The following is a 24,351-nucleotide window of genomic DNA, read 5'->3' as shown; positions in this document are numbered from 1 at the left end:
TTCTGATATCTGAGATGTTAGCTGTGCTAATTTTATTCGTGACTACAACAAAGGCACCTGAACATACAGCAGAAGGATATTCTGTGGGCAGAATATCCCGATACAGATTTTCAGCTATTCTAACAAAATAAAGTGTCTGATCTAAAAGTGAAGTCTAATGTAAGAGATGGGTGCATCACGTATAAATCATCCATGTTCGCAGATGCAGAGCCCTCCTTCTGCCTACTTCAGGAGACAGACACAAATGTAAAAGATAGGATGGGACAGCTTTAACAACGTATGTCTATATGACACGGGAGCATACACCCTCGAAGGCACAGAGGCTTGTAATCTCTTGGGTTCTCGCATTGTTCCTGTAGGAGTACTTGCCTCTCAAGGGCAGGCCCACACCCTGCCCTTCTATCTCAGTACCTAGCGGAATTCCCGCACATTGACGTTCAGTGTTTCTAAAAGTTGGTCTGAGGCCCAGTGGCATCAGAGTCACTTAGAGGTATTTGTTTAACGTATATTTTAAGTCTGTTAGGAGCTGAAATGTGTCCCCTCAAATTCCTGTGTTGAAGTCCTAACACCCAGTACCTCAGAATTTAACTGTCTTTGAAGACAGGGCCTTTAAAGAGGTCACTAAGGTAAAATGGAGGTCATTCTGAGTGGGCCCTAATCGAATGTGACCAGGGTCCTTACAGGTGGAGATCAACACATAGGACACAAGAGGGAAGGCCACGTGAAGACACAGGGAAGACGGTCATCCACCACCCAAGGAGAGAGGACTCAGAAGAAGCCAGTCCTGCCCAACACCTTGGTCTCAAACTGGTAGCCTCCGAAACGATGAGAAAATAAATGTCTGTTGTTTAAGCCGCCCAGCCCATGGTGCTTTGTTACGGCAGCCCTCGCAAACTGACACAGGGCCCTGCCCTAAGAATTCCCAGAGTGAGGCCTAGAAATATGTAGTTCAATGAGCGTTCATGTTTTATAAAGAAAACACAGTTTTGAATGAGTAAATACTCAAAATTGGAATCTTCCAGGACTGCAGTGGCCCAGCAGAGGACAGAACAGACAGAACTGCTCATCACGTCTCTGCTACCACTGCCTTGTGCTCACATTACCATTGCCACGGCACAGTGCAGCAGCGTGTTCTCTCACAGGTTCTACAGGAAGGAGGTGTGGAAAGTACAGGCTCATTCTGACCATGTCTCGTGGGCAGTAGCTACAGCTGACCATCTCTTTCTTCTGGAAGCCCACTGTTTCCTTCACTTCTTTTATACTGCTCCCTCTCATTTCCTTCTGTCTCACTGGCCACTCCTTCTCGTACTCCTGTGCTGCCACCAGCCTCTGTCTGACCTTGAACTCTGAACCCTCTCTTGTCTCTCCTCACACTCCCTCCTAAGATGACCTCCTCCTAAATCTGCTGTTTGCCCCAAATCAGAGAATTAGAGATCAGATGGCAACAACACTTGCACATAGCTCAAGATGGAAACTTAGTAGTCCTTCCTCATTGACCAATGCTCCCTCCCTACCTTCCATATCCAACCCACTAACAAGTTCCACCACCTCTGTCTCCAAAATGTATCCTACATCCTACTATTTGCACTAACTCCATGGCTACACTCTTAGCCTAGACCACCTGTATCTCTGTCTTCCTGATCGCAGCCAATATCTCCTAACTAGTCTCCTAATTCTACCTTCCGTCCTCCCAAACCATCCTCCATAAAGGAGAAAAGGGTAAATTCTTAAAATTAAAATTTGTTCTTGGAATCCCAGGGATGAAAACCCACAGCTCTTCCCATTGCCTATGCACCACCCTCTTCCTTGCCTCCTTTTGGCCACACTGGTTGGCTCACTTGTTGCCTTGAATGTGCCGCACAGCTCACTCTGCAAAGGTCTCCGTGCTCAGTCTTTTGTCTGAAATGCTTTCAAGCTCTCATCTCCGTGAACAGCTTGTTCCCTGTCTTCCTCAGACAGCACTTCCAGAATGAAGGTACAATACAATCCCCAGTTCCTGCACGAGTGTCTGTGACTCTCCATCGCAGGCCACATACTGCTTTCTTTGACTCATGGCCTTGTCGTAACTTGCAGTTATTTTACACCTATTCATATGTAGAATGCAAGCTCTGTGAGGGCAGGATGACAGTGTTTACTGATGTAGTCCTGTACTTCACACAGGGACTGACACCCAGCTGATGCTCCACAAATGTCTGTTGAGTTAATGGATGAACCACTGTAGCTCAACTTGATCAGGGCTGAGGGCACGAGGTTCTGAAGAAGCAGTCATCGACTTAGGCAAGGAAATCCTTTCATCATCCGGTATAATCTATGCTCAAAGTATTTAGTGAGGTGTGCATGTGGCCAATCACATACCATTAATAAACACGGCAGTTATTTGGAAACAACAGTAGCAGAATCAACATTACTACCTCTTGAACTGCGTTTCCAAATGGTTTGTAAGAGTTGCTGGTCACTGAAAATATCTTGGATCAATGGGTTACTGAATCAAGCTGTACTAGTTTGAAAGAGTTCCAAATTTACAGAATTGTTTATTCTTGTGTTTCATATAACAAATTTTATTGAAATTATGGATGCAATTAACAGCTATGTCTTCTGATATGGTATTACTAATGGATTCTACCCTACCAATGCAAAATTTTCACTTGACATTCTTCAGGGGATAAGATGTGTGCAAATAATAAGAAATTCAAAAATCTGGATTATTATCCATGACTCAGAAGATTTTGTTATAAAGGAATTCTGTGGGATTATGCCAGTTGATGCTAAGTTTTCAATAGTTTATTATCTTTGTCTATGAGTACTAGTAATGCTTTTCATTCTAATATTAGGACACACTCAATGTGGAGATTAGCAAGATTAAAGAGATTTTAGGTAAACATTTTTGGGCATCTGTCGTATATTACAATATATTAAAAAGTTCCTTTGTCGTCGTCTCTTGACTTAACAGAATATTGTCGCATTTTCTGTTCAGGCAAGACAGAAGTGCTCATCTTCCCCTCACAGCCCATCTGGTTTTTGCCCAAGCTGCCTGCAAGACAACACTCTAAAGTGAGAGACACCTTCTACGTAGTGGATGTTGATTCAATTAACGCCGTGTTATTTATAACAAACTGAAAACCTTACAGATCTCACCAACCATATAGGATAATCACTCTTCACTGAATACAACTAAAAAAAGAAGTATTTGAAGAACATCCAGGTTTTGCTAAGATCTCATTTAGGAGGCCAAAGGGGAACACGCACACTTGGCAGCATAATGACTAATTACTACGTTCAAAGGGTGAAAAAGCTGAAGAAACATCAAGGCATCTGTATCATCATACTATTCTGAGTAAGTGCCACAAGTAGCATTAGGAGAAGCCAATTTTAAAAGCAGCTCTTTGTTCCCCCATACCAAACAAACTCTTCAAAGAAACTGCTTTTATAACACACAAACAAAATGCTTTCATATAATGCCTTTTGGGGAGAGGTGGTGGGGAAAAGGTGGGAAGGGAAAGGAAACTAGTGGTGAAGAGTGTGAAGTGAAATGTTGTACACATTGCACAGACCTGCTCCTCCAAAATCAACATGGAGCACACCACGTGAGCTGCCACATTTATAACCCTATGCTGATATTCAAATTTTCTGTCTTAAGCTAAAGAAAGATTGAATACCCTGCTGTTGTGTGGCCAAGATTGAAGAGGTGTCTCACTGACATTGTTCAAAGTTTATGAAAATATATGAATGCTCAAATGTCATTGGCTTTGCGCCTCCAACAGACTGTGGTTTTATGAGAAATCAGTCTTTTAATCAAAATGATTGAATACCTTAAGGTCGAATCCAAAGATATCAGTTAATATCTAGAAACGTGCTATTTCTGCAAATTTTGCCAAGCTGTACATATTGTGGTGCATTTTAAAGTGTTAATTTGTGCATTCCATATTGAAAATTGATCTTGAGTTTTAGCTTTTTGTCAAGCAAAAACATATGGTTACAAGCTCTATGCATTTTGCGCGACGGCTGTTGAAGCTGTCACATGTGCAAACTTGATAACCGATGTGACACATACGCAAATAATTTGCTTGTTTAGTAACAATTCAAAGATTCATTATTCATGCAAACACACATTTTTTTAAATGATCAGATGGAAATAGTCTTCGTTTTGTACAACCTAGTCTGGTTGGTGTGCAAACTCAGATAAAATAAAGCTGGGAACTAAGTGGTATTAAAGAAATCCAAGAATATGGGTATTTTCAGATAATTATTGAACCAGATGGTGTTTTTTGTTAATTCTGCCATCAGTCTGAGAACTTGATGTCTTACATCTGCACTTGGTAAAATAAATTTTACCGCTGACATTATTTCAGTTTTCTTAAAATACTTCAATCAGTTTTAAACCAAGATTTGCAAACATCTGCCACAGTGCATGCCTATGAGATGAAATTATTCAAGATAATTCCTTTAAAAATATACACCATTACACAGAGCTTTAAATTCATCACCCTTTAAACTAAATTTTCAGAATTACTAGTTGAAATGTTTAATAGAAAGGAAAATAGGAATAGGATAGCACATTTGAAAATGAACACGGTTAATAGGTCACAAAAAGTGTTGTCTCACTTGCAAAGCCTATCTTGGAATTTCACACCACATTATTTCCCTGTCTTAACAGAGAGAGAAATTCAGTACATTTTTTTCCTGTATTCTTTAGGTAAATTTTCTGTGTGGTGTGATTAAAGGATAGGATTACATAATGAATTAATCAACAGACATAGATGATAAAGGAACAGTATCTGCGAGTAAGTTAATCAGTCCTAACAGAATTCTCCCTCTTAACAAATGAACAGAATTTCAAATACACCCCTGAAACCAGCACACCAGTTTTAGGCTCTTTTTCAGAAACCCAAATAGGAGTTCTTGAAAACATAATTGAAATCCTCCAAATAGCCTAACTTCTTTGGCTTTTCTCTTGAAAGTCTACAAACAAAATCTTAGTTTCAAACTTAATCATGAACTCACATACATTTTGAGGATAAGCTTGAGACTCCCACATGCTCTCCTTTTTCCTTCTTGTTTTCTTCCTCAAACCCAGGCCTCTAGATCGAAACTTGCCCCATAACTTAGCACAGTGCGTTCTGAAGAGGGAGCTCAATATTTGTTGCAGATTGATCAAAACCAACGCACCACAAACTAGTAAAATTACAATGGTAAATAACTGAACTATTTCAAAGTGCAACTACAACAGTAGTACATGAAATAAGCTAAATATAGTAATCTAAAGAAGAGTTTCCCACTTTAAAGTAGGTTCTATTGAATGTGGGGAATGACTAAATTACTCTATACCACCAATACTTGCATTCATGTAGGTGCTCAGATAGCTAGAGTAGCTGACGATTCACAACTATAATTAGAGAAAGCCGACTATAATTAGAGAAAGCTGACTTCCTGCCACTGTGGGATGAAGGAGTGGGTGGTCACGATGAAGTGGTCAGCTGTCGGCAGTTAAATCAGAGGGTAGCTTTGATTAGTTAGCCCCCAAGAATTTGGCTGATTCAGTCTCTGATTTACTTAGACAGGTAGTTATTAAAATTTGCTACCATTAATTACTAATTAACTTATATGATACATTATTAGTTATATTACATGTAATATACATACTATTAATTATAATTAGGATATATCACTAATACCAGTTTATAATAATTATGTCTGTTAATTACAATTAATGGTAGCATATGAATAGTTAATTCAAGGCTTTTTATTAATATATGACATATGCTAAGTGGTAATTTTATTTTATTTTAAGTTCCAGGGTACATGTGAAAGATGTGCAGGTTGTTACACAGGTAACATGGTGTATTAAGCCCAGTATGTAGTAGCTATTTATCCTGATGCTCTCCCTGCCCCCCTACTTCAGACCCCAGCGTGTCTTGTTCTCCTTCCTGTGTCCATGTGTTCTCATTGTTCAGTTCTCACTTGTAAGTGAGAACATGTGGTGTTTGGTTTTCTGTTCCTGCGAGAGTTTGCTGAGGATAATGGCTTCCAGCTCCATCCAAGTCCCAGCAAAGGACATGATCTCGTTCGTTTCATGGCTGCATAGTATTCCACGGTGTACGTGCATCACATTTTTAAAATCCAGTCTATCACTGATGAGCATCTGGGTCAACTCCGTGTCTTTGCTATTGTTAATAGTGCTGCAATGAACATACATATGCAGGTATCTTTACAATAGAACAATTTATATTCTTTGGGGTATACATTTAGTAATGGGCTTGCTGGATCAAATGGTATTTCTGGTTCTAGGTCTCTGAAGAATCACCACACTGTCTTCCACAGTGGTTGAACTAATTTACATTCCTGCCAATAGTGTAAGTGTTCCTCTCTACAGCCTCACCAGCATCTGTTGTTTCTTGACTGTCTAATAATCGCCATTAACTGACATTTGATAATCGCCATTCTGACTGGTATGAGATAGCTAAAATTACCACATGCTAAGTGGTAATTTTTACATGCATTATTTCACTCGTATAGTCTTAGGTGGTACACTCTAATATTATGAGTAAATTCAAGTGCAGAGAGGTTAGGCTATTGCCTTAGGCCATGTACAATGTGAAACAATATCCAGAATTTAAACCCAGCTCTGTCTGAGGAGTGCTCTAAGCCACTATGTGATACAGCAGACTCACAGGTGAATGACAGTCAAAGTGACTGTGTGGCCCCAACCCCTTGATATTTGGGCTACTTTCAGTAAATAGCACTGTGAAAATAGTTCTCTCACTTTCTTTCTCTTGCTCTCATTAAAAGAAAAAATTTAAGGCACCTGATTCACATCATCAAGTTAATGTCCAAAAACTAGGAACCAATGAGCACCATTACCTGCAGCAGATGCACGTTACACCAAGTGTTTATGTATCTTTTATTGTGACTTTGATAGACAAAAGGGTATATCATTTTTTTCTTTTAAAAAAGTTTGCATTTGTTAAGTTACTAGTTATAATAAATACCTTTCCAGACATTTGTTTATAAAATTTCTATTTTCTATTTTATGATTGATCTGCCATCTTTTCTACCTGTTTTTATTGAGTTTGTAGTGTTTTTCCTATTGATTTAATGATAATGAGCTCTTTATATAAAAATATATAAAATTTTAATGTGTTGTTTGAGGACAAAATACTTTCTCAGTATTCTAGTTGCCTTTTTATTCTGGGAACTTCTGACATACAGAATGTAGCTTATATAGTTATATCTATTAATCAGTTATTTTGTTAGTTCTTTTATTCAAATTATGAGAAAGTTCTCTCATCAGAATTTGGTTTAATTTTATTTCCGTATAGAATTTTATAATTAAAAAAATTTAACTCTTTAGTGCATCAACTTTTATCTTTGTGAACTATATCCAATAAGGTTCTAAATAGACTCTGTCAAACTGCTATCCTAGTAAGTCTCACAAAATTTATTAAATATTAAATAATATTTCCCTTTTACATTGACTTGTGAGTCCTCTTTAAGAATGTATAATGGGCCAGGCATGACGGCTCATGCCTGTAATTCCAGCACTTTGGGAGGTGGAAGCAGGAGGATACCTTGATGTCAGGAGTTTGAGACCAGCCTGGCTAACGCAGTGAGACCCTGTCTCTAAAAAAAAATAAAAAATTAGCCAGGTGCTGTGGTGAGTGCCTGTGGTACCAGCTACTCAGGAGGCTGAGGAGGGAGGATCACTTGAGCCCAAGGAATTTGAGGCTGCAATGAGCCATGATTGCACCACTGTACTCCAGCCTGGGTGACAGAGCAGGACCCTGTCTTTATTATTTTTTTTTTTAAAAAGAATGTATAATGTATTATATAAAACACACAAATATAAATACATATATATTCATAGATTACATATAATGGACTCTGCCTGAGGTCAATCTATGTGATGTGTTGCTTTTTTGTACCTTTTTAGAGCTTTGAAATCAGATGTATTTAGCTTTGAATCTTGGTTCTGTCATTTAATAGAACTCAGGCAAGACTCAGTTTTCTCCTCTTAAAAGGGGAGGATGGTATCTACCTCCTATGGCTGGTGTGAAAATGAAATGAGGTGAAATACAGAAAGCCTCCGGGCTCAGTGTCTGGTCTGGAGCACAGTGAGCAATCAGTAATGACACACAGATTGCTCTCCTCCAGCCACGGCCCACTGTCTCATTATTGTACATTTGTTTTCATATCTTCTAACTTCAGTTCCTCTGTTCAGGTTTCACTAGGATGACATCCACAGATTAGATTAGGAAGGAGTCTGTCTTCTCATTCTAAAATGCTGAACACTTTAATTCACTGTCCATATTCCAAAACTTATTTTTTCAAATACAGGAATAAATTTTTTTAAATGGGTATGGACAAAGTTATTATTTATCTTTGTTACAATTGTGAATGGGATTTTCCCATTAGTATTTTTCTAATTGATTATAGCTCTAATATAGAAAGACTCTTCAGTTTTGTATATTAGTCTTATATTCAGCCATTTTACTGGGCTATTCATTTAATAGTTTAAATTCTCACAGAATCTTCTAGGCATAGAAGAAATTATGAGCAGCAGATAACTTTCCTTCTTCCGATAGGAGAAAAATAATATTGGTCATCACATACAATCTTGTTCTTGATTTCCAGGAAAAAGTTTCACATTGTAGTGCCCTTATGTGCAGGGAACACCTTCCGTGAGCCTAAGTGGATGCCTGAAATCACAGATAGTACCAGATCCTATATATATATACACACACACACACACACACACACATGCACATACACACACATATACACATACACACACATATACACACACATATCTATATATACATACACATACACACTATATGCTTTTTCCTACATACACATACCTATGATAAAGTTTAATTTATAAATTACGCACATGAGGAGGTTAGCAATAACTAATAAAATAGAACAATTATTACAATACACCAGCATCATCACTCTTGCACTTTGGGGCTATTACGAAGTAAAATAAGTTTTACTTGAACACAAGCACTGTGACACTGTTACCAGTCAATCTGATGACCAGGATGGATACTAGGTGGTATGGTTTGGCTCTGTGTCCCCACCCAAATTTCAAGTCAAACTTCAATTCCCAATGTTGGGGGAGGGACCTGGTGGGAGGTGACTGGATCATGGGGGCAGATTTCCCCCTTGCTGTTCTTGTGATGAGTAAGTTCTCATGAGACCTGGTTGTTCAAAAGTGTGTATCACCTCCCCCTTCTCTCTCTCTCTCCTGCCACCATGGGAAGGTGTTAGTTTCCCCTTTGCCTTTTCACCATGATTGTAAGTTTCCTGAGGCCTCCCCAGCCATGCCTCCTGTGCAGCCTGTGGAACTGTGAGTCAATTAAACCTCTTTTCCCCATAAATTACCCAGGTTCAGGTATTTCTTTATAGCAGTGTGAGAAGAGACTAATACAGAAAATAGGTGACTAACAGGTGGGGAGCCCTTACAGCGGGGATATTCTGGACAAAGGGATGATTCGCACCCTGAGTGGGAAAGAGTGGGACTAAGAGAGCTATCATCACACTACTAGGAATGGCTTGCAATTTAAAATAATTTAAAAAGCAATTTAAATAACTGTTTCTGGAATTTTCCATTTACTATGTTTGAACCACTGTGACTGCAGGTAACTGAAACTGCAGAAATCACAACCATGGATATGGGGAGGAGGACCACTGCGCACACTTTCAAGTCGCACTGCCAGCTGAATTTGCATTGCCACTGAGTAAAGAAAGTCACTTTCTCGTCCCTGGCTGGGTTCCTTATGGTCACAAAATCTTACCTTAATTTTCTATTATCTGAATTTTATTTTATGTATTCTGTATGTATTTATGTATTTTATATAAGCTACCTCAAATTTTTTGTGGGATAAAGAAAATACATAAACATACTGATTTTCTTCCATTTTTAGGGTCAATAGGAAATGATTTTGTATCCAATATCTCCTTTTGGCATCCTTTGAGATAATTATTTGATCTTCTAATTTAACCTGATGATTAATTGAGGGATTTCTAATACTGTATAGTCTTTTAAATGGGTTTGATCAGATTATTCTATTCCCTGTGTTTTGCTGAGGACCTTCAGGTCTATGTTCTAAGTGGGGTTTATGAAACTGGTAATAGAAAATAATGGAGAGCAGTTAAAGAGTTAATATACATTATTAATATGTGTGCTCTCTACAGGCACACAAAGCCTGTAGACTCAACAAATTTACTCCTGAAGTTTTCCAAATTTGCAAAATCTGCAATTTCTTTGCCACATAAAACTTTCCAGAAATTAAAAAAAGTAAAACAAAGGGTCTCAATTTATTCCTGCATTTCACTGATACCTTAAATTACATAGCTTAACTTCTTTAAAGCACTACATTTTTAGCTGTTATATTAAAATTTTTATTTCAGATTTTTTCTTGATTTGTAAGGTTTGCTAATTTCTACCCAAGTTATCTTAAATTTATTATTTTTTATTTTTCTTGTTTTCTACATCATTTATTTCAGCTGTTACTTAATGACTTTATTTCTCCTTTTTTGTTATGACATTGTGGATTGTTATTCAAAATAATTCAATTTACTTTTACTCCCTTCTTTTTCATTTATAAAATTATTTAAGACTGTGAATTTAGTTTGGAGTTCAACTTCAGACAAATCCCAATCAGTTCTAATATGACATATTTTATCATTAATTTTTTAGTTTTTAATTTTTCATAATATTTAGACTGCAACTGTATTTTTCATTTACTTTTTTCTCCTCCTATTATATAAGTATTTCAATATTTATAGGTGCTTGGGTTTTTTCTTTCCTGTTTAAATTTTTATTATATTTTGAAAATCATGGTTTCCTAAGCTTAGAAATTTTCCTTTAAAGACAAGTATAAGTTCCATGCATTTTCCACAGATACTCGATCATAAAGTTAACACTGTGTTACAAATTTTTCAAAATTAACTATTAATCTATTAATTCCGTTGTTCACATAATTCTATTGTGCAAATATCAATTATACTATTCACAGAAAATGATTTTTCTTCTTTTTGATTTATCATAGATTACTATGGATTAAACTCTCCCACCCAAGAATATTTTCTTTTTGAATTCAATTACAGTTTGCTTAGTGGACCTTTTGCTAGAAATTAGTTAAAAAAACTCAGGTCCTGGCATGTGCTCAGCTGCCACATGGGGCAGGTGCCCACCACTGGACAGTGTAGATAGAAAACAGGTAATTCTACCAGGCAGGGCTCTTTCAGAAGAACAACTTTGGCTATACTAAAAAGAGACAGGAGCAGCACAAGGTCGAAGCAGGAGGAGCAATGAGGAGGCTACCATTATAAGAGGGATGAGAGAAACAGTTACTTGGACCACAACACATGGTGGAAGAAGGAAAAAGTGATCTGATTCCAGATATATTTTGAAGACTGGTGGTAAGCATTTGCTGACAGCCTGGATATGAGCTACTCAGTTCTTCAAAAATGAAGTGTTATGCACCAACCTGATTTCATCAGTCACCGTTAATCACCTTGAGGAATGGCATAGGGTTGGGTGGTTGCTGACTAGCACTGATATCTTGGCTACTCCATACAAATACAGAAAACTTCATCCCTATAAACCTCCCTGCCAAAACATCAGTGGATCCCTAATCCTCCTACAAGACAGGCAGGGTCATGTGGGGATTGGAAAAATTTTTCCACACTTTCCTTAAGCTGACATATATTATTAACCTTTAAAAACTGAGCAATTAACCTGAGAGGTTACAAAGTATCCTTCTAGCAGGTATAGCACATGTGGGTAAAGTGATTATAGCCACTTAATTATGTGAGTACTGTTATCTGAAAGCATTTTGTAAATTGCAAAGACCTTTACAAATACTTGTTATTATTTGTTTTAATTAGTCATAGTAATGGTAAATTTCCTACATGTAATTTTACTGAGATCTCAGACAAAACTATCCATTTTCTTTTCTGAACCTGAAACATAAGCAGATGCTCAATAAGTATTTATGGAAAGAAAAAAATGGCTGAATTGATTCCCACTGCCACTCAGTTTTACATATTTCAGCTTACACTCGAGTCCTGTTTTCAGATGGTGGAAGTGTTAGACACCTGCTTTTTCTGGAATATGGTGAGCTAATGGGTAAGCTAAGATAAAATCCTGCAACTTGGCCTTCAGGGCAATTGTGATAACAGTGGCTACAAATGCTGGGACTCCTTCTCTAGCTTCAACTTTTCTGACATACTTTGATAAATATAGAGGTATTAATAGCAGTGGCACTGGATAAAAGATGCTAGGATGAAATAAACTCAATGTAATTTTAGGGCAGAAAATCAGAAATAGATGACAAAAGTGTAATTTTATAACTACACCAAGAGAAAGTTCACTATTAAAATTACTCACAATGATAACACATTCAGTTGAAACTTTATTGTTGTCGATATCCTTATCTTAAATTCCGTATCTTAGGTGGACAGGTTGGAACATAAGAACTTTTACCACGGCATTAAACTTCACTTGCTGTGTAAGAAACATGATTACACATATGAGTCAGCAGCAGTGCAGTGCAGTTCAATATGGCACCAATATAGTTCTATCTGACATCTGAAGTGTACCTTATAATACGCTCATTATATAGCAATAACATTACTAAGAGAAATAGTAAAAGTTGTGATGATTCTTATGGTGAAATAAGTTGAAACTACATAGTGTTTTAAATAGCTATAAAATAACAAGTAATTGTTGCCATATATTTAACTAATTTTAAGGAGTCAAAAATTAGCCCCAAATAAGGAAATGAGAAAAGCAAGATTCCAGATATGAAGCAGTGAACCAGGAAACGGTCATGGTTTTTGACTCACAGAATAGTGTGCTAGCTCTGCATGAGGACACAAATCAACATCCACCACGCTAACATTCATAAATACATGCCTTCCAATACTTGTCCTTATATGGGATTGACGGCACTACTCACAATCATAACCTCAAAAAACCCATTTGTAATTATAACATTATGATGGTTTAAAGGTAGTTCCTGTCCATTTTCAGACAGTTGAACATTTTTTTAAGCTGACAAAAAAGGCTTTTTTTGTCATCTAACCAAGACCATCAGTTTATGGTCTGTTTTATTTCTTGCCAGTAGATACCATTAAAAGTTATAAAACTGTAACAATTGCTTGCATTTATATCTCTCTCTGATTACCTGATAACTGCAATGTCAGAAGAAGTCCAGAATCTGTAAAGCCTGTCACATTACAGAAACATGTCTCCTAAAACTAAATGTGAAATTCCAGTAATTGAAGTGATAAATCTAGTGTTATTTTTTTGCCAGGGTACTTTTGATGAGAACTATAGCAGTAAATTAGGAAATATTCTGTGCCGTTATATCACGGTAAAAAGCCTTTCCATTACCTGTTGTCAGTCACTAGAGATGGGCAAATAACTCAGCTGTCAATCTAGCTAGGAAGTCTGAAGTTCTGTGAAATATATATATATATATGTAAATATATATATATAATGTTTATATGTTTTATATGATATTAATCATTTATATATAAACATATATATTATATATATATATTCTCCATTCTCATCATATAATTCTTTAGACAACTTGGAGTTGCTTTGTTTTCTTCCGCTGTACCGGAGTACATCTCACTTATTCATACATAGAGTGGAGATCTTGGAATAGTTCATTTTTTATAGCTTGTTATGTGTCTTCTTGTTTTCAAATGGTATATGAGTGTTAAATTTCAATAAGTATAATAAGCATCGATACCCTGACTGCTGAGAGTAATTTTACACATGGTACAGACTTAATCAAATTACTAATAACTGTTGGGTCCAATTTATTATTGACTTTTCCCCTAAAATATTTATTGCCTTATATTTCTACTTTAAAAGTCTATTCTTCAGCATTTCTTCAGATCACATGAAAGTATTCTACAAATTATATCCCTTTCACACTATTCTGCATGACAGCAAAAGCAAAAGGCAAACATTAGTAGTCTCCCCAAATTAGCTGGCTATACGAATATGGCGGTGGGGAAAGGAATGTATAATCTACTGTTTCAATTGAAACAATTAATCCATTCAGGTTCCATCAACTTCCATTGTAGAATATTTGTTTCAGTTCTTAGAACTAAGTAACATGATGTATGTTTCTTAAATTACTATGAAATTTCCAACTCATTGGCATGGAATAGCTATTATTGTTGGAACATGGCATCTACAAGCTGACTTTCTATTCATCTGCACAGTCCTATTCAATTCTTAAGTGTTTTAAAGAAAAAAAGTAATACAAATTATTTTCAAATTTTACTTTCAATTTGTATATAAAAAAAACAACACGTAAATGTACTTGAAATATCAATGAAAAAGACTAACGGAGACTCATGTCCCTTACCCTCAATGCACTAAAATTCATTTGTCACATATTTTATTTTGGTCGATGGTTTTAAGATGGTGAAGAAAAAAAGTTAAGAATCTGACCACTTACGAGGGTGACAAGATTAGAAAAACCACTTATCTGACAGGAAAAGCCCTGATTTGGTTAAGAATATGCAGTTGTGTGCATGTTTATCAAAAGCAAACTCAGAGTTACTTGAAGGAAGATAAAAGGACAAAAAAAGAAAGAGGAAAATGGCTTGACCTTCAAGAAGGGGTAGAGATGACTTAGATTGGAAGAAATTAACATGGGGGCACTCGGTGTCAGCCAGAAACTGAGAAAAGGACAAAGGACCATCTTAGAAGGGAAGAAACATTACAAGATTTTATATTTCGAACACCAAACCCCATAAAAAATTAAATTGGTGACCAGGTACTTAATTGATACATGAAAGTTTTAATTTCTTAAGATCCCCAAATCCCAATGTAAACACTTTGCCTACTTTCTCAAGAAAGGAAAGCTTTAAAATATTGAGTAGATAAACAGTGGGTGAACCTACTGATTAGTTCACACTGTTTTTAACCCCTAGTACATCCTCAATAAGCTGGGACCAAGCTACCCCAAACTGCCCAATTCATTTGGTAGCAGTTACATGAAGTTGAAGGCTTTTTTCTTAGAAAATATAAAGCTTCTATAGGATTTGACTATAGGATCTTAAGACTTTTTGGTGACAGAAATGTAGTGAATGAATTTCCTCACAACTCAAGCGAAACAGAAACAGTACTGCATACACTGAGGTACTGAACCTAAAGATGTTCTGGCTGTCATTTATTTGTAATTCTAGAAGGCAAATATCAAGAAAACACAGCAGATAAAAACATAAGGCAAGCAGTACACTTGCTTAATTTATTTTTAGAAATTGTATGCCCTTCAGAAAAAGGTTCCTCAGAGCTCTTCAGGGGTACCATGGTGGTCCCGCAGAGAACACGGGCACAAGCAGGCTGGTGGTATACGTAACTTTGCTGCCTTTGTACTCTGATGGAATAAATTATGCTCCCTTAAACCACAATAGCAATCCTCTCCAATCAACACACATTTCACTACATGTGAATCCTTCTGTTTTGACCTTGCTTCATGGGCAAAATCTGGAGAACATTTCTGCTGCCTTTCTTTCCTCTGGTAACCAAGCCACATGTTTTTTCTCTCTTAGACAAAACCTCTTAGGGGCCTTTTTTATTAGAGGAAGATAAAGGAAGAAAGAAAGAGGTGTGCCCCAAGTAAGTAGAGATTCTTTTCTTTGCTGCCATTTGATTTTGTCATTAAAAGTGCAAAGGAAAAGGACAACTACCCATCACTTAATAAATACGGATCTACAACAATTCCTGCTGTGAAACATCATGTCTTTTCTAAGAAAGAGAAAAACGAGTTTCTCTCAAACCTTTACTTGAATGTGCACAGAACCCACTTTCCTACAATTGCCCACATGTCACCGCATCTCTTTTTCTTTTTAAATCAGGCATTAAATATGCATCCTGACTCCCACGCAGGCGATCTGCAGCACAGCAAAATGACTGTGTATTCAATTATAGGCTAAATAAATATAGCAAACATTAAGGAAAAAAGTTTCAAACTCTATGGGCATCAGGCACGGTCTCCTTTTCATGATACAATTAGGTGTTCTACGTCTGTTATCATAGTGACACACGTTATGTGCCTCCTACAAACCCTTTTTTTTTTTTTTTTAAAAAAGGACCCTTTCTATCATTAGTAATACTGAGTTAATTTGAAAAAACAAAACAAAACAAAAAAACAAACCTCTCTAAGGAGCCAGTAGCTGAATTTAGAAAAATGCATGTATTTAAAATGACTACAAGATTTTAATGAATAAACCATTCATGAAATAAGGTATTTATATCATCTCTTTTCTATTATGAAATTAGGTTAACATTTCTACAAAAAATGGAATTGCCTAATAGCAAATTTACAACAAAGTTGGGGAAAAAAAGAAAGTTCCACAGCAGAGGTTTTGGAATAGGCAAATTCTACCAAGGTGCGTGATGGGTTGAATTACGGGGGCAGAACTGCTTCCAACCTTTCTATTATTGCTAGTCTAATTCAGATTTTCAATAATTTGGAAAAAAATGCTTTTATTTGATGTCATGTCTATGAGTCGTTGGCAAAGTGTAGTAACACTGGAAAAGAAAATATTTGGGGTTAAAATGATTACAAATCATTTCAGCATTGTACACTGTAGATACCCCCAGAGCCTGCTATACACTATGTGTACGTACACTATGTGTACATACACTATGTGTACATACACTATGTGTACATACACTATGTGTACATACACTATGTGTACATACACTATGTGTACATACACTATGTGTACATACACTATGTGTACATACACTATGTGTACATACACTATGTGTATAGCAGGTGGGCTTCAAGCCCTGTGATGTTCATTCAGCTAACTCAAAAAGTGTCGGAAAATGGATTTCAGCACAGGTGCCCAAGGACACCATAAACAGAATGTATTGACGATACATTCTACAATGTGACAGCTCAACTGTCATGTCAAACAGCTGTAACAGAGTGCTAGTGTTACAGGTTTACTTTAATATTTAAATATATCAATAACCAGGTGAAACTTGTTTTTGCAGGTTTAAAAAGAAGAGTTTTAATATGTCACATGATAAATATTTAAACACAAAACAGGAATTTAAATTCTCCTATTCTCAATGACTATGTAAATTTTACTAGGCTATTAAAAAAATCTTCCTAAACACTTGCTAGAAAAAGTCTATTTGTCATTGGGCTAATTTATACTTTCAACAAATTATATTTCTTGGAAGTATTTCAAACAAATATACCAAATTTGCCTCAATAATTTTTCATTTCTCCTTATAAGCCTTTTCAAAGTGGAATTATAATGCGAGTTTAAGATACATTCAATTTATTAAAATGGTACTACTTAAGTAGAGCTTATTTTGACATGATAAGAATACTGAGACCAAAATAAATCCAATATTCATTCTTTTGTTCAACAAAAATTTATTAAATACTGACAAGTGTTTTCTGATTTTGGGAAAAAAACTTAAATGGATGAATATTTTCTTACTACTTACTTTTATCACTGGGATTCTTTGTAAGCAAAGATTTTTTTTATGTGTAATAATATTTAATATAGCATTGTTTGTAGTGGTAATGAGTAAAACCCCAAATGTTCATTTGTAAGAGAATGGCTGAATCAACTAAGGTATGTCTGCTCTATTTTGTTATACAGTTATTCAGATGAAAAATTATATCTGTATCTGTTGATCCGGAGGAAAAAAGCAAACTACAGAATTAAATGTATAGTATTCAAACACCTTCCAAAAAACGTGTAAGGGACACATGCTTTTTATTCGCAGAGAAAGGTAGTCCACAGTGCTATGAGCAGTGATTTGCAGGTATCTGAGGAGGTCTTCAGGTTTTTCTTTATTCGTGTTTGTGTTATTTTACTTGCTAGAAGTCCATTATTACTTTGGTAAATTTAAAATATCGAGTAAGAAAAATGAAAACTAAACACAAGCCAAGAGTAACAAAGAGATTTTATAAATAAGACTCAGCTTTTCAACCCACTAATTCCACACAGGTTTTCCAAGTGCTGTGTTCCCACCACCCTTCCTACTCACTGCCTGACAAAGCACAGGGGATAAAGCACAGTTTTCTTGTGGGCCATTTGGAGATGCCACATCCTCTGTTGTTCTTAAGGAGATCTGACTGTACTTGACAAGGAGCCATTATTTGATAGTATGACAGGGCAGCATTTCATGGACTTAAGTGTTGTTTGCTCTTCAAATATATGCTTTTTCCTTTAGGAAAACATTCATTTACATAGATCCACAAGTAGGAGGCATGTGAAAACCGTTATTAGTCTAACATAAAGGAGAGAGACATATGCACCAAAAAGTACTCCCAAGTTCTCAAGTAAAACAAGACAACGGCAGGAGTTGTTCCTTCTGGTTTCACCATGGCTATATAGTAAAAGTGTCTGGGGCATCCTCACTGCTTTTAAATACAGCTGTGCTCATGCAACTGCTGCTGATTCCAATGTGACTGAAATTTTCAGCATGCCCGATTTACCATATCTGATTGTGTAAGCAGCTGGGATACAAAAAATAACGTGCCTGGCATATGCTTAGCAGTCACAAGGAAGTGGCAGAAAATCAGCCTGTGACCCACTTATTATTTTGGTGACACATGACTGTTGCTGTTTTTGGGAATTTAGTTGTACACATGACCCTGGAGTGAGCTGTCAGTCTCACTGTTCTATTAACAGTTCACACAAATCTCTGCATATCCCATATCACTTGTCTGGACCTCCAAAACATCCCACACTCGACCTGGCCAGTCACAGAGAGCTCTTTGGAAATATACATCTTGGCCTTTCTCTCGGCAAATCTCATGAGATGAAATCTCATGTAGACAGGGGGAAATATGTGGTTGGGAATTCTGGGAAGTCAGATCACGGTTGTCCTTTATTAGCAAACACACGATCAGAAAAGAAATGGACTGGATGACTACTAGCGTGATTTTCAGGACAATGGCTGGCATGAAGGCCTTAAGCAAAACAACAAAATGTGCATAATGTTTTCTTTTCCCACTTTGTGACTTTTAGCATTTCTACACTTTCACACCCTTTCCAATCCAAGATATTTTACTTACTCTGTTTCCTTAAGTCTAGGACAGCACTGCTTGTAAAATGCAATTCTATGTTAAAACAAATAATTGGGATTTCTGATTTTAGAAATAATAAAATGCAAAAACAAAAGTCTTATGACTATTGAAATAGGGTGTGTCTATTTTCTTGGCAGTGTAGTGTAGTGGGGTTAAGACTTGGGTTCTGGAATCAACCTGAATAGGTTCAAATCCAGGCTCTGTAACTTTTATCTTGAATAAGTTACTGAAGCTATCTATGTCCGGGTTTACTTTACTATGAAGCAAAATAATAGTACTCCTACAGGAGCCATTATGAAGAATAAATGATTTTATATTTGTAGAAAGCTTACAGCAGTGCCTGGCATAGTAAGCGTTGAACAAGTGATAGCTATTATTTTTGCTTGTCATTGTTCATAAAATTCCTTTTCTCTCTCCCCTAATCTACTCTTGTAAGAACGGTTACTTCACTGCATTAATCAACACATAGCTAGAAATCAAGTCATCCACACAAGTTCATACCTGGTTTAATTTTCCCTGAGGCACCAATATTTGAAGACCTTATAGTGTGATTATTTCCCTGCCTATCACTTATTGCTTGTGGATTAAAATATAAGGGCTACCTTTTATAAAATGTAAAATAATCAGTTTTGAATTAATAGGACAGGGTACAGTGGCTTGATACAAGAAAAATAGACAAAAGTCAATAGCTTTCCTATATACCAATAAGAAGGCAATATATAATTTAAAAATTCTACTCACAATTGCTACAAAATACTGACTACATAGGAAAAGCTGGTTTAAAGACTTAACAATAAAACTTGAGTAACTGGTGAGAGATAGTATTTTTGTAAATGAAGTTTTAATGTTACAAAGATGCCAATTCCCTGAAAGTATATTCTGGAATAAACAGAAGAGAAAGGGAGCCTATTCTACTCAATATTAAAACAGAATAGAAATGCTGTAAGGAGGATAATGGGTCCCTGGGATGGAAGAAGATAAGTGTTTGAAACAGAAGAATCTTTATTGAAAAATAAAATATATATGAGAATTGAACATGAGATAAAGGTGGCATTGTCAATCAAAGATTCAAAGTATGAACTATTCACTAGATGCACTGGGGAAAATAACCATTTGGGAAAAAAATTATATCTTTATGTCACGCCTTACAGCAAAATATCTCCAAATGAACTAAAGGTTTGGATTTATAAAAAGTAAAACCGCAAAAGATCAGAAGGTAGTGGAAATGTTCCTATTACCCTGCATTACAAAGTTAGGAATCTAAAACCAGAAATCACACATATATATTCATCTTAAAAACAAATGATTAAGTTAAAAGATGAACAAGGAATTCACAAAGTAAAAAGTACAAATGACTAATAAGAAAGAATGTTTAATCTCACTAGTAATCATTAGAGCTTTTTTGCAACCATATTTGCAACGCTGTTAAAATGAAAACATTTATGAAAAACGCCACTATCCGGGGATGACTTTCTGCAATTTCTGTCACCTGGGAGCTCATTTGAGGTCTGCAGAGCAGCTGCAAGGTCGTTTCTTCAGAGGAGCTTTTCCTGACCACTGAAGCTAGTTATGTCCCATAACTATATAGCCTTTCAGGGTCCCTGACATTTTTCCTTCTTTGCAGCTTCACAGCTGTGATTTGGAATCATCTGTATAATGATTCATCATGAGCCCATCTCCATTAGACTGGAATGGCTATGGCCACTCCTGACTTTTCCTGGTGCTGTGCCTGGAACAGTGTAGGCATTCATTATTTGGTGTATCCTTCAAGGGACTTGCACGGAGGTCAGCAATAAAACCTCCATGGGTCCCCTGCTGCCCACAGGTGATATCAAGTCTAAACTCCTTGGCATGGCATTCAGTGAACTTCCCAATTCACTCCCAATTCAACTGTCCAGCCTCATCTCTAGTCACTCCCAAACACAGGGTCTTTGACTAGCCACACTAAACTTATTCCCCTTGAGCCTGTGCATTTCAATGAGTTATTCCTTTGGCCGAGAAAACCATTTACCTTTCCCTGTCTAGAAACCACTTTCGAAATTTAGCTTGTAACTCAACAGCACATCCTGACTGCAAGGACCTGAGTGAGTGATGGGCTGCCTCTATGTGTACCCCAAAGCAGCTGATGTAAATTTCCCATGGAGGATTTCCCATGTTACAGTAGTGTCATTACCTGTGAACATATTTTCCTCTTCTGCTAGGTTAAGAACTCTGTGAAGGCAGCAGCTATTTCCTTTATTCTATGGACCTTGGCTCTGAGCAAAGCACCTGACACACAAAGTTGATCAGAAAATTGAACCAATTATTTAGATATCGATTCTAACATATTAGAGACCATAGAAATGAAATACTTTGCATATAAGAAAACTGTACAACGTTTTGCATTCAGACCTCACTTGACAGAGAGAAAAATGTTGGTGGAGGTTCATTTTCAAATATTAGGAAAAAAGGAGCAGCAGAGTGATTGTGTGCGAGAATGTCCAGGAGTTGTGGGTCTGCACACTTGTTAGCGCAAAAGGGTCGTGAGGACTAGACTAAGGCGCTGCGGTGCCCTGTGTTGTGTGACAAGGGAAATAACAGGTGTTAGCAACATTTACACTTGTCACATGTGTGTTAAAATGTCTAAGCTAACCACCAAAAGAACAGAAAAAGAATGTGCAGAAGAAAAAAGATGGAATGAGGTAAAAAACCTTAGTCTCAAAGGATACAAGAAAGCAGGAAAAAAGAAACAGAAAAGAGAAATAGAAATACAAATATGGTAGAAATAAATAAATAAATAAAAAATACTAACAGTAAGTATATTGACTTAAATGTTCCCAAATGCTCCAGCCAAAACACCAAGTTTTCCAGACAGGATTATGAAACAATAAATCCAGCTCTATGAAACTTTCAAAGATCCACTTTAACCTCCAGAAAAAGTTGAAAAAGTTGAAATGAAAAAGAGGCATCATGTGACTACTAATCAAAAAAGAAGTGCAATTAGTAGTCTGCAACAGAATAGACTTTTAGGCAAAAAGCATTCTAGATAAAGTTCACTTCATATTGATAAAAAGTTCAATTTACCAGCAACATATAAGAATTCTATACATAGTTGTATCTAACAATAGATTTAAACTATTAAGAAGCAAAGAAAAAAAAAGAAAAAAAATCACACTTGTAGTAAAAAACTTCAACATGCCTCTCTCAGTATTTGGTAAATGGCAGACAAATTAGTGAGGATATAGATGATTGCAAGACACAATTAATAAGCTTAATCTATGGAAGCCCAGATGAAACATTTATCAAAGGGCTCACTGCTGTACCAAAAGGCAAGCTACAACAAATTTCAAAGAACTGGCTCATAGAGTTGCCTTCTGTGGCTACAGTGCAATTATATTATAGATTAATAATAAGGAGGAAAATTTTTTTAAAACCCACCAACATCAGGAGGTACGAGGACAATTAAAATATCTTGAGACTGAAGAAGAAATCAAATGTATTTAGATAAAGGATTACACAAATTCTCAAATATAAAAACTTACAGGATGCAGCTAAGACATTACTTGGAGGGAAATTTAGGACCTCTAGTGTTAATGCCTATATAAGAAAAGAAATTAACTGATTAAGCATTCAACTTAAGTTAGAAAAAAGAATAAGAGTAAACAAAGTAAAAGGCAGAAAATAAATCATAAGAGTAGAAATGATCAAACATAAAACAAAGATATAATAGGAAAGATCAATACATCTAAAAGCTGTCATTTTGAAAGGACAACAAATCATTCTCAAGAAAGTAACAATCCATTCTCAAGAAATAGGAGCGGCAGTGCAGAGGAAGAATATTAGGACTGCACGTCGCAGCTCCATCAGTTCTGAGGCTGATCCCTGAAGACACCTCCTCCAAGACAGCACGGAGGGTCCGTTCATCCGACATGCCTCTCTCAGTGTCTGATTTCACCGCAGTTTGTTTGGATCCAGGACTTTATTTTAACGGAGATTCAACAAATGGAAATCCTTCTAAAAAGTCAGTACTATGTTCTAACGAAGAATCAAAACTCCCATAGACCCGCTGTTCACTTTAGTCTCCTCAAACATACATTCCCAAGTCTGAGGTTTGTTGCAGGATGACCAGACATGACCAGCAAGAGCTCTCGTGCGATAAGCTGGGCAGCATCCCAGGAGGGTGGGGATTTGATACTTCCTTAAGTTTCCAGCTTACTGAAGGATACTCACTTAGAGTGTGTATGATAAGAAAGTAATTCTAAGTTGGCGGCGGGGGGTGGGTGGGGGGGGTGGCGGGGATGACATGTTTTAAGGTTTCAGAGTGAGGAGACAAGAATTTAAGTACAAATTCTGCTTTCTGTAGCAGAAATGTGGATGAATAATTACATTTAAGTAAGTAAATAAGCTGTGATAACCTCAGAAAAAAAATAAGGCAGTCAATGTCCAAGGTTTTCAATCTCAATAGAAATGAATTTTCCAAAGAGCATATTTTATATATATATATTTGTAAATCTCTCAAGAAATAACCCTAAAACTCTGCATTCAATGAAAATACGCCAGCTAAGTTTGGGACAGGGTCTGGGCTGAATCAGATTCTTCACAGGCTTTAATATAAACCCTCAACCAAACAATAGCTCTAGAGAAAAAAAAGGCAAGTTCTTTTGTTTTAGACCAGAAATGCAACAGAAACGAAATATAATAAAAAATGAAAATTCAGGTAGAGGAACTATGCATTTCATACTGAATAATTATTTCTGTACTGCCCGTAAATCCTCTCTGGTAAGCTGTGCATCTACAACTCATCGAACTGCCAAGGGGTAAATGCAGCTCCATCCATCAAGCAGTCACTTGACAAATACATTCCATAATAGAAGTTTATTTTTATGGGAGGCTGAATCAAGGACTTTCCCATGCATACAAAAACTTGTCAAAATTATTTATGAGTCTTGCTGAGACACACAATATGTCATATCAAACTCCTATTTTCCTTCCAAGCACAGACTGTCAATATCTCTGCTGCTATCAATAATGTGGAACACCGCTGATAGAGGCCCTCAGGAGCTTGAGGTCATTTGCCCATCCCAGCGCTGCCAGAAGCCATCTCTAAGTGCGGTGGGGCCGAGGAGAGGCGTATTTACCACCCCGGTGAGGGGTAGCTAAGGAAAGCACTTGGGACTACTTTGAAAGACTTTGCAACATAAAGTAAAACAGAAACACAGGGTTGAAAAATGATGGTTGATGACGGCTGAAGAAAAACAAAGATATCAGA

General features: G+C 36.6%; 1 protein-coding gene across 2 annotated transcripts in view, besides 1 other annotated feature; it reads right to left on the bottom strand.

The window, feature by feature from the left end:
* The window catches only part of ZNF407 (zinc finger protein 407), a 467,802-nt gene that overhangs the window by 36,600 nt on the left and 406,851 nt on the right, over positions 1-24,351 (bottom strand). The window lies entirely within an intron of this gene.
* Positions 5,992-6,188: a silencer, noted in NCBI's record as "fragment chr18:72734840-72735036 (GRCh37/hg19 assembly coordinates)". NCBI's record gives its function as "represses an EF-1alpha promoter that drives an FKBP-Casp9 reporter gene in an ReSE screen in HepG2 liver carcinoma cells {active_cell/tissue: HepG2}" and the evidence as "EXISTENCE:reporter gene assay evidence [ECO:0000049][PMID:32094911]".

This window comes from Homo sapiens, chromosome 18 (assembly GCF_000001405.40).
Source record: "Homo sapiens chromosome 18, GRCh38.p14 Primary Assembly".
In the NCBI taxonomy this organism is placed as follows: domain Eukaryota; kingdom Metazoa; phylum Chordata; class Mammalia; order Primates; family Hominidae; genus Homo; species Homo sapiens.
Note: the sequence above shows the minus strand (reverse complement) of the source record. Positions and strands in the feature narration are given on the sequence as shown.